At 34.2% G+C, this 13,452-nt stretch overlaps 1 protein-coding gene across 4 annotated transcripts in view; it reads right to left on the bottom strand.

Annotated features, from left to right (window-relative positions):
- Positions 1–13,452, bottom strand: part of MOXD1 (monooxygenase DBH like 1) — a 105,421-nt gene that overhangs the window by 10,449 nt on the left and 81,520 nt on the right. For all 4 annotated transcript variants that reach the window (XM_017010714.3, NM_015529.4, XM_047418622.1 and 1 more), the window contains exon 10: positions 9,132–9,274. In XM_017010714.3, coding sequence (XP_016866203.1) covers positions 9,132–9,274 — 143 coding nt within the window. The remainder of the gene's footprint in view (positions 1–9,131; positions 9,275–13,452) is intronic.

Here is a 13,452-nt window from a genome sequence, read left to right on the forward strand (position 1 = left end):
ACAGAGAACACCATTAAGATACTCCACGAGAAGATCAACCCCAAGACACATAATAATCAGATTCTCCAAGGTCAAAATGGAGGACAAACTGTTAAGGGCAGCCAGAGAGAAAGGCCAGGTCACCTACAAAGGGAAGCCCATCAGACTAACAGTGGACCTCTCAGCAGAAACTCTACAAGCCAGAAGAGATTGGGGGCCAATATTCAACATTCTTAAAGAAAAGAATTTTCAACCCAGAATTTCATATCCAGCAAAACTAAGCTTTTTAAGTGAAGGAGAAATAAAATCCTTTTCAGACAAGCAAATGCTGAGGGATTTTGATACTACCAGGCCTGCCCTGGAAGAGCTCCTGAAAGAAGCACTAAATATGGAAAGGAAAAACTCGTACCAGCCACTGCAAAAACATACCAAATTGTAAAGACCAATGACACTATGAAGAAACTGCATCAACTAGTGTGCAAAATCATCAAATAGCAGCATGATGACAGGATCAAATTATCAAATTCACACATAACAATACTAACCTTAAATGTAAATGGGCTAAAGGCCCCAATTAAAAGACACAGATTGGCAAGCTGGATAGAGTCAAGACCCATCAGTGTGCTATATTCAGGAGACGCATCTCACGTGCAGAGACACACATAGGCTCAAAATAAAGGGATAGAAGAAAATTTACCAAGCAAATTGAAAGAAAAAAAAAGCAGGGGTTGCAATCCTAGTCTCTGACAAAATAGACTTTAGACCAACAGAGATCAAAAAAGACAAAGAATGGCATTACGTAATGGTAAGGGGAAAAATTCAACAAGAAGAGCTAACTATTCTAAATATATATGCACTCAATACAGGAGCACCCAGATTCATAAAACAAGTTCTTAGAGACCTACAAAGAGACTTAGACTCCCACACAATAATAGTGGGAGACTTTAACACCCCAATGTCAGTATTAGACAGAAAAACAAGACAGAAAATTAACAAGGATATTCAGGACTTGAAATCAGCTCTGGATCAAGTGGACCTAGTAGACGTCTACCGAACTGTCTACCTGAAATCAACAAAACATACATTCTTCTCAGTGCCACATGGCACTTATTCTAAAATCGACCACATAATTGGAAGTAAAACACTTCTCGGCAAATGCAAAAGAACTGAAGTCATTAAACAAACAGTCTCTCAGACCACAGTGCAGTCAAATTAGAACTCAGGATTAACAAACTCACTCAAAACCATACAATTAATGGAAATCGAACAACCTGGTCCTGAATGACTCCTGAGTAAATAATGAAATTAAGACAGAAATCAAGTTCTTTGAAACCAATGAGAACAAAGAGACAACGTACCAGAATCTCTGGGACACAGCTAAAGCAGTGTCAAGAAGGAAATTTATAGCACTAAATCCCCACATCAGAAAGCTAGAAAGATCTCAAATCAACACCTTAACATCACAGTTAAAAGAGATAGAGAGGCAAGAGAAAACTAATCCAAAAGCTAGCAGAAGACAAGAAATAACTAAAATCAGAAAAGAATTGATGGAGATAGAAACAGGAAAAACTCTCAAAAAAATCAATGAATCCAGGAAGTGGTTTTTTGAAAAAAAAAAAATAACAAAATAGATAGATCACTAGCTAGAAAATAAAGAGGAAAAGAGAGAAGAATCAAATAGACACAATAAAAAAATGACAAAGGGGATGTCACCAATGGCCCCACAGAAATACAAACTACCATCAGAGAATATAAACACCTCTATGCAAATAAACTAGAAAATCTAGAAGAAATGGGTAAGTTCCTGGACACATACACCTTCCCAAGACTAAACCAGGAAGAAGTTGAATCCCTGAATAGACCAATAACAAGTTCTGAAGTTGAGGCAGTAATTAATAGCCTACTAACAAAAAGAAGCCCAGGAACAGATGGATTCACAGCTGAATTCTACCAGAAATACAAAGAGGAACTGTTACCATTCCTTCTGAAACTATTCCAAATAATTGAAAAAGAGGGACTCCTCCCTAACTCATTTTATGAAGCCAGCATCATCTTGATACCAAAACCGGGAAGAGACACAACAAAAAAAGAAAACTTCAGGCCAATATTCCTTATGAACATCGATGCGAAAATACACAATAAAATACTGGCAAACCAAATCCAGCAGCACATCAAAAAACTTATCCACCACAATCAAGTCGGCTTCATCCCTGGGATACAAGGCAGGTTCAACCCATGCAAATCAATAAACATAATCCATCACATAAACAGAATCAAAGTCAAAAACCACATGATTATCTCAATAGACGCACAAAAGGCCTTTGATAAAATTCAACATCCCTTCATGTTGAAAACTCTCAATAAACAAGGTATTGATGGAAATATCTCAAAATAATAAGAGCTATTTATGTCAATGCCACAGCCAGTACCATATTGAATGGGCAAAAGCTGGAAGCATTCCCTTTGAAAACTGGTACAAGACAAGGATGCCCTCTCTCACCACTCCTGTTCAACATAGTATTGGATATTTTGGCCAGGGCAATCAGGCAATAGAAAGAAACAAAGAGTATTTAAATAGGAAGAGAGGAAGTCAAATTATCTCTGTTTGCAGATGACATAATTTTATATTTAGAAAACCCCATCATCTCAGCCCCAAGACTTCTTAAACTGATAAGCATCTTCAGCAAAGTCTCAGGATACAAAATCAATGTGCAAAAATCACAAGCATTCCTTTACACCAACAATAGACAAGCAGAGAGCCAAATCATGAATGAACTTCCATTCACAATTGCTACAAAGAGAATAAAATACCTAGGAATACAGCTAACAAGGGATGTGAAGGACCTCTTTAAGGAGAACTATCAACCACTGCTCAAGGAAATAAAAGAGTACAAAAATAAATGGAAAAACATTCCATTTTCATGGATAGGTAGAATCAATATCATGAAAATGGTCATACTGCCCAACGTAATTTATAGATTCAACGCTATTTCCATCAAACTACCATTGACATTCTTTACAGAATTAGCAACAACTATTTTAAATTTCATATGGAATCAAAGAAGACTCTGTATAGCTAAGACAATCCTAAGCAAAAAGAACAAAGCTGGAGGCATCACACTACCTGACTTCAAACTATACTACAAGGCTACAGTAACTAAAACAGCATGATACTGGTGCAAAAACAGACATGGAGCAGAACAAAGACCTCAGAAATAACACCACACATCTACAACCATTAACAAACTTGACAAAAACAAGCAATGGGGAAAGGATCTCCTATTAACTAAATGGTGCTGGGAAAACTGCTTAGCCATAGGCTGAAAACCAAAACTGAACCCCTTCCTTACACCTTATACACAAATTAACTCAGATGGATTAAAGACTTAAGTGTAAAACTGCAAACCATAGAAACCCTAGAAGAAAACCTAGGCAATACCATTCAGGACATAGGCATGGGCAAAGACTTCATGACAAAAACGCCAAAAGCAATTGCAACAAATGCCAAAATTGACAAATGGGATCTAATTAAACTAAAGAACTTCTGCACAGCAAAAGAAACTATCATCAGATCAAAGAGACAACCTACAGAATGGGAGAAAATTTTTGTAATCTACCCATCCAACAAAGATCTAATATCCAGAACTTACAAGGAACTTAAACAAATTTACAAGAAAAAAACAATCCCATTAAAAAGTCAGCAAAGGATATGAACAGACACTTCTCAAAAGAAGACATTTATGTGGCCAAGAAATATGAAAAAACTCAACATCACTGATCATCGGAGAAATGCAAACCAAAACCACAAAGAGATACCATCTCATTCCAGTCAGAATGGCAATTATTAAAAAGTCAGGTAACAACAGATGCTGGCGAGTCTGTGGAGAAATAGGAATGCTTTTACACTGTTGGTCGGAATGTAAATTATTTCCACCACTACGGAAGACAGTATGGCAATTCTTCAAGGATCTAGAACCAGAAATACCATTTGACCCAGCAATATCCCATTCTTGGTATATACCCAAAAGAATATAAATCATTCTACTATAAAGACACATGCACTTGTATGTTTATTGCAGCACTATTTACAATAGCAAAGCCATGGAACCAACCCAAATGCCCATCAGTAATAGACTGGATACAGAAAATGTGGTACATATACACTATGGAATACTATGATGCCACAAAAAGGAATGAGATCATGTCCTTTGAAGGGACATGGATGAAGATGGAAGCCAATGTCCTCAGTGAACTGACACAGGAACAGAAAACCAAACACCACATACTGTCACTCGTAAGTGGGAGTTGAACAATGAGAACGCACGGACACAGAGAGGGGAGCAACACACACCAGGGCCTGTTGGGGGATGGGGGGTGAAGGGAGGGAATATAGAAGATGGGCCAATAAGTGCAGCAAACCACCATGGCACTCGTATACCTATGTAACAAAGCTGCACATTCTGCACATGTATCCCGTTTTTTGTTTGTTTGTTTGTTTAGAATAAATAAATAAATAAAAACACTTTGTGTTCCAGGAAAACTTAATTCAGATGCTCAACACTAAAGTGTATTCAATTGAACTTATGAATCCTACAAGTAAAGGAAAAATTCCTCCATTCGTCCAGAGAGATCTCCCAAGGGAAAGAAATATGACCCTAAAATATCATATCCAGCCAAACTGCTATCCAAATAAAAGAGTAGAAATTCCCAAATTGAAAGAACTTGAGGCATAAGGCACTCAGAAGCCCTTACTGATTAAACAACTTGAAGATAAAATCCTAATGACTCAAATTTAAAAACTCATTAATGTAGAAATCATAAAGATTAGGGTTATCATTGAATTGATTTATCTAATCAAGTCATGTTAAATATTCTGGGAATTATAGTTTCATAATTAAGTGTAAACATTAAAAATCTTGAAAATATAATAATTATAATATAAATAATAAATACTTGGTGGTTTAGAAAGCAGAAGTGGGAAAAATATGAAAGTATAAACGTCTCCATCTTTCATGACCTAAAATTGAAACATACAGTGAATCTAACAACTTGATGATTTTATGATCTATTTTGTCAACATTCGAGACCCTCTTCATAAAATATTATTTCTTGTGCTTAAAACAACACCAACAACATTTATTTGAACTTCAACAAATGTTCAGTTTTACTTTAGTTTCTTTCTAATAAGTTAAAACAAAATTAAAATTCAATGGTTTTTCAAAAATAGTGCATAAATTGTAATCTTGTAACAGTATTTAATCAATTCATTTTATATAAATATATACATATTAAGATGTTTATAATAACATTCATTCAACATGTTAGCAATGTTTATGTTGAGTAGAATTTGAGGTGGTTGCTTTTGCCTTCTTTATAACAACTTGTTCTGCATTACCTGAACTCTTTATAATAAGCACGTGTGAGTTTTAAATAGGAAAAACATAAAGTGATTTTTCTGCAAAGAGGAAGAGAAACAGCTATTGATGCTTTTTTAGGAACAGAACCAATAACACAGGAACTATCCATTACTTACATCTCACCAGACCTGCATATTCAGTCTTGATTTATGGTACAACAGGGAATACACAATTTATCTAAACTCATTATCTATTTTGTTGTTTGATCTTTGTGAGTTTTTTGTTTTTCCTTAAGACTTGCCAGATCTGTAGGAGGCAGACAGAAATAGCACCCCCGAGAACAGACAATAAAATTGAGACAAGACATAGTTGTCTCATTTTTTCTATCAATCCTTCCTAGGATTGCTATAGAATGTTTAAAATAAAATATAGAACCTGATTAATCATTATATGAAAAGCACAGAATAGAAGAGTTTTGTTCATATGTTATATGATATTCCTTTTTAGTATTATATGCTGAATACCAATTGGTAATATTCTTCTAAGCAAAACAGAAAAAAAGCACCTAAGCCATTTTTTGTTCTGATGTTTGAGCCAGCACCTTGTTAGTTTGGCCTTCACTATCACTTATGTCACTGTGGTGATGAACTAGATTTAATGTCTAATTTAAAGTCTAAACATGTATTTTTAAATAGAGGCTCTTTTGTGCTCATATTTTTGAGGAATAAATTTAACCATGAAGTTAAATGGGTTTTGTCCTTTTTTTTTTTCTTTTTTCTTTTTTTTGGCAGGGGAGAATGACATCTCAAAACTAGCCTTGTTCTGTAAAGCAATTCTCCCTGTCTTTCCAAATTATGAAAACCCAACTTGAGTATTTCCTGAGGGAGACCAAAGGTATGGACACTGGTGGAGCTCATTGGGAAACAGGAGAGCCGAACATTTTTAGAGGCTTCATACCATTTAAACTTAAAAAAAAAAAATAGGCCATAGAATGCATTTAAATCATCTTGCAAACATACAGCTTTTAATATCCATTTGTTTTTAACATTCTCTCAAATTAACCATCGATTAGAAAATTTCCATTCAATATGTAAAAAATATTCTAAATGAGAAAAAGACTACTCAAGGCTAAGTAAGGAACAATATAACATCAATATTTGAAAACCAAGACTACATCCTAGTGTTTTTAAAATGATATTTTATGTGATGCTTGGATTTTTGTTGTTTTAATTTGTTTACATATGTAATTATTTACTTGTTATATATTTATGTATATTTATATATTGGCCTATATGTGCATGTTGTATGGGGAGAAAGAGATCAGAGACTAGATGCAAACCCCAACTCTCCCTTTTATTATGTACTATATAATGTTGAATAATTTCTTAATCTCTTGGTTTCTATTTCCTCCCCTATAAAACCGGGATTGCATGTCTTGCTCTACCTGTTGGAATTGTGTAAAAATGAATTATAAAATCATGCATATGAAAATACTTAGTAAACTATAAACCAATTTATGTAAGCATTTTGTTATTTGTATTTTATTAGATATAGGCATTTCTTCTAGTGGTCATTTTGCTGTTTGCAAAAAAATTCAGTAAAACCTATCTATGAATCATAAATTTAATTCAAAAAGAGGAGTGGGTCTCAGTTCATAATTTATAATCCTGTAATATTTAGGCACAAAAACTTGACCATATTTCTATTCTCCTTCATCATCTGCATTTTACCATATCCTCACTGAATGTTTTTTCACTCTCTCCTTAAATACATGTCTCAAAACTCTATGTGTGGCTAGGCATGGTGGTTCATGCCTGTAATCCCAGCACTTTGGGAGGCCGAGGCGGGTGGATCACCTGAGGTCAGGAGTTCGAGACCAGCCTGCCCAACATGGAGAAACCCCGTCTCTACTAAAAATACAAAATATTAGCTGGGCGTGGTGGCGAGCGCCTGTAATCCCAGCTACTTGGGAGGCTGAGGCAGGAGAATCACTTGAACCCAGGAGGCAGAGGTTGCAGTGAGCTGAGATCGCGTCACTGCACTCCAGCCTGGGTGACAAGAGCGAAACTCTGTCTCAAAAAAACAAAAACAAAAACAAAAACAAAACCTCTATGTGTATATTTTCTCTAATTACATAATTACGTCAGTCCCTTTCATTTTGAATAGTAGTGATCATTAGAAAATTCTTCTCTATATTAAAACAAATTCAGCCATCCCCAAATTTCCACCAGCCATTCTAATTCTTCTCACTGACATCAGTAAGAATAGATACATCAACCTTAATATATCCAAAACAGAATTCTCAATATCATCCTCAGCATGTTCCCCTAACACCATTCACACCATCACTGAGCCTTTACTCTGCTCTATCCCTCACTGCCTCCATGAGATGCCATTGATCAACAAGCCTGTGGGTGCTCCTTTCAAAAAGTAACCTGAATGGAATGTGTCTCATCAACTTGGTGTCACCACCTTGGCACAAGTGACCTTCATCCCTCAACTAGACAATCACAATAGTTTCCTGATTGATATTCCTTCCAGTCTAGCCCTCCTAGAGTCCTTTCCCAGTATAGTAGCCAAATTGACTTTATTTATATCCTTTAATTGCTTCCCTTTGCACTTAAAGCCCCAAGGCCTTATGTTGCCCATAAAGTCCTAAATCATCTGGTCCCACCTGCTCTCATGTGTCCTCACTTATTCTCTACCATACTTCACTCTTCTGCAGCCAAATGCACTCTCTTGCTGCTCCACAAACACGGTAGGTTCAGACTAACCACAGGGTCATTCATTACACTGGCTCTTTCCTGTGCAGAATTTGCATATCTCTATAGCTGGCTCCTTATCACGGAGGTCGCTGCTCAGATATCACCAACCCAGAGAGGCTTTCTTTATCCTGTTGACAACAACTACATACTTCCTTCACTGTTTTGTCTTCATAACATCTATTACTATTTAAAATATCTTTTTTTGTTTATTACCTCTCCCTCACTCCAGAATACAATCTCAAGAGGGCAAGGAAAATATGAATCTTGTTTATTATATCTTAAATAGCTCCTATAATTGTACCGAAAGAGAACAATTATACCTAAAGAGTTAACATAATAGGCCCACCTCAGAAAGGCCTGCTTGCAAGGATAATCCTTGGCAGGTGCCTGGAAACTTAAATAGTAAACGATTTCCTATATTGACATAAACTTTCTCTAATGATAAGAGTGACTCATTGTGCCTATACTGTGCAAACAATGCAGTTTATGCTGAACAACTGCTTTCCATCTGGAAGTATGGAATTTTAGTAAGTGGTAGGCAGAGACCACCTATATGACTAGTTCCTCCAAAAAACTCTGGGCACTGAATCTGTGATGAGCTTCTCCAATAGACAACATTCCATACATGTTGTCACAATTTGATGATGGTGTAATTTGGTGCATTCTGTGTGACTCCACTGGAAGAGGGCTCTTGGAAGCTTGCGCCTGGTTTCCTCTAGACTTTGCTTCATGTAGCTTTTCCTTTTGTTCTTTCTGCTTTGCATGCTTTCACCATATTCATGTTTTCCATGAATACAACTATTTGCTGAGTACTGTAGGTACTCCTTGCAAATCACAGAACCTGAGGGTGGTCTTGGGGACTCTGGACATAGTAATCAAAAAGGTTACTTGGTCTCCCCAGTTAAAAGTAATCAAATAGAACAAACAGTGCATAAAAATTTCTATAATGTGGTAATGGATCCAGTATGACAATAAAGCCCATCTTTCTCTGAAATACGTTACCCCATCATAAAATACATTTACTACTTACGTGACTGGTCTGTAGATCTCCTTAACCCCAATGAACTGAAGTTGTTCCATAATGTCTGGAATACTTGCACATCGAGTAAGATTAATTCTTGGGTAATAAAGAAGGTATGAGAGACACATTTCACTCCTGGTGCTTAGTCCTCCCTGAAAACAGATAGTTTATTTAGCAAAGTATGTGTTCTACCAACTTTGACATTTAAAGCACACAAGTCATTAATGTCATACAGTTCCTTCCAATATTAAAATTTAATACATCTTAAAGCTGAAAAGTTAAAAAACTGGCTTTTTAGAAAGGTAGTGACACAATTAAAAATTAATAGAATTATTTCCACTTTAAAAATTTGCCTTTCTTAAATAACCTAATAAATTCTGCGGATGGGATGTAAACTTCTCAACACAGTGAACATTTCAGAGAATCATAAGGATGTTTGGTTAGCATAATACCAATCAATCAGGAATTTTTGCAGGAAATTTTTCTGATTTAATTGAATTTTCTAGAATCTTGTCTTCATGTGTATAAACATTAGCAGCTGCATACGACGGGGAGAAAGATTTCATATTTTGAATCTAGGTAGTTAATTATCTACTAAAATTTGGAAAAAGATTAAAGACCTTCAAAAGAACAGAATCCAGAGTTACTACAACATATTATCTAATATGTCTAATTTCAACCAAAAATTATTAAGTGGGAAAAGAAACAGGAAATTATTATCTACCTTCAATGGAGAAAAGTCAGTAGAAATGGATTGTAAGATTGATGTGCTGGATTTATCAGACAATGACTTGAAAACAGATAAAAATATGTTCAATAAAGCCGTTTTACAAAGTGTTCAAAGAGTTAAAGAAAAACATGCTCAAGTAGTTAAAGGCAAATGTCTCAAAAATGAGTGAACAGAAAAAGGAATGACATTAGGAAAGAAGAACAATTTTAAAAATAGAAATTCTAGAGCTGAGAGGTACCAAAACGAAATAAAAACTTCACAGGATAAGCTCAACAGCAAGTTTCAAATGAGCAAGGAAAATATCAGTGAACTTGAAGATTAATCAATAGAAATTGTCCTATTCAAATAACAGAGAGATAAAAGACTAAAGAAAAGTGAAAATACTTCAGAGATCTATGGGACAACATTAAATGTTCTAGCATTTATGTCTAACATATATGTTTTCATGTATGTTAAATACATGTAACTGGAGTTCTAGAATGAGAGGAAGAAGACAAAAAGGTAGAAAAAATATTCAAAGGAATAATGCCTGAAATAATCCCCAATTTAATGAAAAACATTAACTTACAGACCCAAGAAGCTCAACAAAAACCAAATGTAAATACAAAAAGAGCCATACCTAGACACATCACAGTCATACTGCTGAAAACCAAAGATAAGAAAAAATCTTGAAAGGAGCAAGAGAAAAATGACACATCATATATAGGTGAACAAGAATACAATTGACAGCTGACATTTCATCATAAATGATGGAAATAACAAAAAGATATTGAATTATATATTCACAAGTGTTGCAAAGGAAACAAAGCAACTGCCAACCAAGAATTCTGTATCCAGCAAAATCCAGCTTTCGAAAACAAAGGTGAAAAACTTAATATTGTTTATATTCTAAATTAACCTAGGGGCTAATATACAATGATTTTACTAATTGCAAAAACATGATGTTTTGCACTTGATGAGCAAGGCAGGATTAGGCAAAGGAAGATGCTGATGTGCAAATGAAGTTGCATTTGATGCCTCAGTAAATATTGTATTTAATTTATCCTTAAGTTAGGATGGCTGTTCAGAGTTGTACCAAATTGTAGAAGGAAAGCTGGGCCTTTGCAGCATCTTATCAACTAGTCATTGACTGCTGGCTCTCCTACTGTAGGGAGTAAAATTTTAAGAAGTTATTTTCTAATACCAAGGGGAATGTCCAGTGAGGTACACAGCTGTGAGCTATCATATTATCATCTGACATTCCCAGTGGCTGAGGTTTGGTTGTGTTGGCCCTGAAGAGGGTATCAAGACAGTGCACCAAAATACCCACTATAATAATAACTCATTTATTATGTCTTTAGTAAAATAATATTTCAACAACAAAAATTATACATAAGGCATGAGAAAAAAATAAAACCAACACCAGTACATTGACTACTCCATGTGTGTCCAGCTTCTATCCCTCTTCTTCCCATTTCAACCAAAGGTGATTACTATCTTAATATTTTATCTTTCTGTTGTTTTTCATTACACTTTACATTCAGTATATTGAAGTATGTATCCCTAAACAATATATTGTTTAATTTTCCTGAACTTTACATACATAATATCACACTATATATATTCTGCTACAAGCTTGCTCTTTTCAATCAACATTATTTGTTCTTCAGATACACTCAAGTTAATATAGGCAGCTTTCATTCATTAATTTTCATAACTTTACACTGTTTCATTAAATAATACCACATTTATTTGTTCTCCTTTTGATGGGTATTTGAGAGATTTCCAGAATTTTTTCTTTCCTATATTATTATATGTTACTATGAATAGTTTACATATTTCTCTCCTGAAACACATTCTGCAAAAGTAATTCCAAGGTTAAATCTACATAGGAATGGAATTGAGTAGAGTATATATGAATCTCTAATTTTACTAGATAATGCCATACTTTTCCCCAAGATGGTTTTACAAATTTAAGTCACTACTAACAGTGTATAAGTGTTCCAGTTTCAGCATAACGGAAATGCTATTTAAAATTTTGCCAAACTGGTTAGTTCAAAACATCTCACTCTGGTTTATATTTGGTTTTAAACAAAATTGAGCATCTTTTCATATATTTATAGTATCTATTATATGGGTTGTTATTTCTTTGAAATGCTTTTGTCTTATCCTCTTTTATTGTATGCTTCTCTTCTGTTACTGACTTATGGACTTTGTTTTATAAGCTAGATACTAATGTCCTGTTAATCTATGTATTGCAAATATTTTTCCCAGTTTAAAACTCTTCTTAGTTTCTTCATAGTGTTTTATTTTGGTAAGCAAAAGCTTTGACGTAGTCAAATTTGTTAATCTTTAATTTACAGTTTGTGCTTTTATGCTTTGCTTAAAAAATTCTTAACTACTCCAAAGTCATGAAGATATATTCAGGTATTTTTTCTTCCAGCGGTTTTAAATTTTTGCTGTTCACATTTAAATATTTAATACATCTGGCATTGATTTTTATGCATTGTGTGAAATTAAGACTCAGTTTTATTTATGTCATATGGATAGCCATTAGTGCCAGCATCCTTTAATAAAAAGTTTATCCTTTTCCATTTATCTAAATGCTATGTCTATCATAAACCAAGTTTCCATCTGTAGAATTTGTAGGTCTGTTTCTGAGATGCCTCTTCTGCTCCAAGTCTTCTAACTTGGGACTCAAAGCATATTGTATTAATCGCCAGTTTTAAAATAAGCCTTCTTATCTAGTAGATTGTTTTCTATCTTGTTCTTTTCAGTTTTGTCCTGCCTATTTTTAACCTTTTGCTCTTCTGTGTAAATTTTAGAATCAACTTGCTCCATGTGAAAGCTAAAACAGCAAAATGTTTATATAAATTAAAAAATACATGAAAATATTTGCAGCCTTGGTCTGGTGAAGATTTCTTAGCTAGAATACCAAAACCTCAAATCGTAAAATTTCTCTGAAATTTTTTTACTAGAATAATATCAAATTTATGAGCCAATATGAATAGAAGTATTTTCTTTATTTTACTGAGCCTTTCTATCCATGAACACGGTATCTCTTACTGTCTTTAGGCATTCTTTTAATGTTTCCCAATAAAGATTTATAATTTTTTCACAGAGATCAAACACATCTAGTGTTAGATTTTATTTCTGTTTAATTTTTATTTTAAATTGTATTTTCTTGAGATAATTTCTTATATACTCAAATGCAATTAATTTTAGATAGTATCAATTTGGAGGAGGGTTTGATGCAGAAAATTACAGTATCTGTGAGTAATGTGTTTTGCTTCTTCACTTCTTTCTTTCTGATCCTTATATCTCATTTTCATTTCTTTTCCAGTACAATGTTGAATACAAGTAGTGATAACAAATACCCTTATATTCTTCCTAACTTGAAAAAAAAAACGGTATTTCATTTAATTTAATATTTGCTATAGCTTTTTCATAGCTAACTTCTACCTAGTTAAGACAATTCCCTGTTATTCCAGGCTTGCTAAATGTCTCCCCTGTCAACAATAAACTTGAATTTAATGAATGCTTTCTCTACCTCTGTTGAGGTGATTATATATCTTTTTCTTTCAATAAATATATTTTCTAATTTAAATCAATTTTATATTC

This window comes from Homo sapiens, chromosome 6 (genome assembly GCF_000001405.40).
Source record: "Homo sapiens chromosome 6, GRCh38.p14 Primary Assembly".
NCBI lineage: Eukaryota > Metazoa > Chordata > Mammalia > Primates > Hominidae > Homo > Homo sapiens.